Source organism: Homo sapiens, chromosome 7 (assembly GCF_000001405.40).
Source record: "Homo sapiens chromosome 7, GRCh38.p14 Primary Assembly".
Classification (NCBI taxonomy): Eukaryota; Metazoa; Chordata; class Mammalia; order Primates; family Hominidae; genus Homo; species Homo sapiens.
This window is the reverse complement of record NC_000007.14, coordinates 63,677,130-63,680,209: the sequence shown is the minus strand read 5'-3', so window position 1 is coordinate 63,680,209 and position 3,080 is coordinate 63,677,130. Positions and strand designations below refer to the sequence as shown.

At 51.4% G+C, this 3,080-nt stretch overlaps 1 annotated feature.

The window, feature by feature from the left end:
• Positions 705-917: a silencer, noted in NCBI's record as "fragment chr7:63139671-63139883 (GRCh37/hg19 assembly coordinates)". NCBI's record gives its function as "represses an EF-1alpha promoter that drives an FKBP-Casp9 reporter gene in an ReSE screen in K562 erythroleukemia cells {active_cell/tissue: K562}" and the evidence as "EXISTENCE:reporter gene assay evidence [ECO:0000049][PMID:32094911]".

Sequence of the window (3,080 nt, the reverse complement as noted above, 5' to 3'; positions counted from 1 at the left end):
AGTCCCAGCTACTTGGGAGGCTGAGGCAGGAGGATCTCTTCAGCCTGGGAGGTGGGGGTTGCAGTGAGCTGTGGTTGCACCACTGCACTCCAGCCTGGGCATCAGAGTGAGACCCTGTCTCAGAAAGAAACAAAAAATATATAGTGTGTGGTTGCAACTTTTGCACATCACCTGGAGTTCTGGGCAAGGGGAGAGGAACTGAGGTTGGTCACTTCTTGCATGGATGGCTTTGGGACTTGGGTGGGTTTTTTGCTCCACAGTACTTTTCACCCTGTATTTTCTCATAGGTTTTGCCCCACTAGAGCTTTATGTAGAGATTGGGGCTCTCAGGTCCCATATGGAACTTACTAGCGAGAGTTCCAAGTGGCAAGTCCCTTTCCTGCCCCGGCATTGGTACAAGGCTGCCTTGCTGTTGGACCACAATACTCCAAGAGTCCAGCTCCCCTGTTTGCTCAAGTCTGAAGCAAGGTCCCACTTGGGAGTTACAGATCAGAGTCCTTTGACGTCAGAGCATCACAGCGGAATTCTAGGCCACCCCGGCAGTGAGTGCTCTCTGCAGATCTGCGAGCGGTGCTGGTCCGCCCCGCCACCTCCACCCCTAGCACCGTATCTGTGTGATTAAAGCTGTGACCTCCCCCTTGGGTGGAAGCCTTCCAGTCCTTGGAATGAGAATCTTAGCTGCTTCTGTCTGCAGAGGATCTCTTTGTGGGATTTTTTTTTTTTTGAGATGGAGTCTTATTCTGTCACCCAGGCTGGAGTGCAGTAGCGTGATCTTGGCTCACTGCAACCTCCGCCTCCTAGGTTTAAGTGATTCTCCTGCCTCTGCCACCTGAGTAGCTGGGACTACAGGCACCCACCACCACACCCGGCTCATTTTTATATTTTTGGTAGAGACACGGTTTCACCATGTTGGCCAGGCTGATCTCAAACTCATGACCTCAGGTGATCTGCCTGCCTCAGCCTCCCAAAGTGCTGGGATTACAGGTGTGAGTCACCGTGCCTGGCCCAGAGGGACTCTTGGAGAGAGGCTCCTTGATCCCACAAGGGGCAGGGGTCTCTGGCAAGGCACAGCCCATCCCACCAGGCCCAGCACCTGGTGCTGACCACCCCCCCAACCCACCCCACTGTTCTGTTGTCAGAATGTGTTGTTTTCTTGTACATAAACAATATGACAATAAAGGGAGGTTACTCAGTAAAGGGAGCTGCTCAGAAGGTGACCAGAGCAGGGCTGGAGAGCCAGCCTGGCATTCACTGTTTGCTTTATTGCAAGGCCACTTGGAATTAGAGGGGATCTCAGATTCGAGTCTGAGCTGGAGGTAGGAAGGGGCTCCTGCACCTTGGATAGAACTCGGGCTCTCCCCGGGGTTAGGGGCCTGGGCTCTGGTGCAGCCCCACCACTTCATTAGGTCACCCCAGGCAGTTTCAGCCTCAGATTTCTCATCCCCGGGATGGCATGTTTGCAGCCTCGTGGGCTTCTATGGGCATTGAATGAGATGTGTTTGTGAGGCAGTAAGGCAGCCAAGATGTCACTTACATGAAACTTACATTGCAACCCCAGTTTTAGCATGATGTGGGATATTAAGTATTACCGTCTCCTTGAATACTCCCAGTCAGCAGTTCGCTTCATGTTACAAGATGTTTAGTTCTAGGCTGGGCCTGTAATCCCTGCACTTTGGGAGGCCAAGGTGGGAGGATCACTTGAGGCCAGGGGTTCAGAACAACCCTGGGCAACATAGTGAGACCCCTGTCTCTACAAACTATAAATATTATATATATATATAATATATATAAAATATAAATATATAATATATATATAATATAAATATATAAAATATAAGGCATGACCTTCCTAAAGCAGACCCTGGTCCGGTCTCTGTACACCTTTTGCATAGTTGGTGGCCATCCAACCCCCTCTCAGGCTGTGGCTGTGTTCCTCCAGGGGCCTCGGTGGTCCAGGAGCCTGGCCGAGCTGGCTCCCTCTCCCACGTGGCTTACTCCATCAGCTTCACCTTGTTTATATCTCTGGATCTCCTCTTTTTTCTTTCTGTTTGTGTCTTGTCTCTTTCTGGAAAGCCCCTTACCTCTACTCACCCCTCTGTGTGCAAACATCACCCAGTTCAGGTGCCCCCAACCCAGCCAGGAGGGATTTTCATTCCTTAGGCTCCCATCGTAGGCTAGCTGTGCCTGTCTTTCAGCACATTTCATTTCCTGCCTGGTATTTCAGTTGTGTGTGTGTCTTCATTCTCCTCATGTAAGCCTTGAGGTGCGGAGTGCATGCCTGTTCACCTCTGCCCTCTCTAGAGGTCAGAATATGACCAGTGTTCAGCCCCCATCGGAAAGAGCCCAAGAACCCCAAGTCCCCAGCCTGTTCTGCTCTGCTGTGGGCCCACATGCCTGGAGACGAGGCACCTTTCCTTCCCTGACATTGACTAGTACAGGATACAGGGTAGAACCCAAACATTGAGCAATTGTCAAACTGCCTACTTATGGTGAACAAAATAGCTTTTCAGAAGGTGAGATCACAGTACGGTTATGGTGAATCCTGACTCGCACCTCAGGTCTTTCATCAGGATTTTTGTTTTTCCCGGTTGGCACAGATGTGCGTGGAGCAGATCAGAGGCCTCTCAGGTTCTTGATCACTCATGGCAAATTCAGGCCCACCAGGAGCGAGGTGAGAGATCCAGACAGCAGGGGAGAGAAGGGAGGTGCAGGGAACCCTCAGCCCCACATGCTCCAGCAGGTCTGTGTGATTAACCTGAATTGCAGCATTCAGAGGCTCGGCCCACCAGCCATGGCGGTTCCAGATGAAATGCAGCTTAGAAGGCAGTGTGGCATAGTAGCTTTGGTGCCAGCTGCTCCCAGAGTTTGGATTGTAGCCAAATGGCATCAGGTGCAATGTACAACCTCTGGGAGTTCCAGATTTCCTATTTACACGACAGGGATGATTCCATACATGAAGGGCTGTTTGGAAGCATCTAGAAACAAGCACAGTGAAGTGGCTGTCGTGACACTGGACGCACAAATGATGGTGTTAGGATCCCTCCACGGATGTAGCCAGGTGACACCCCTCACCTGGGCCG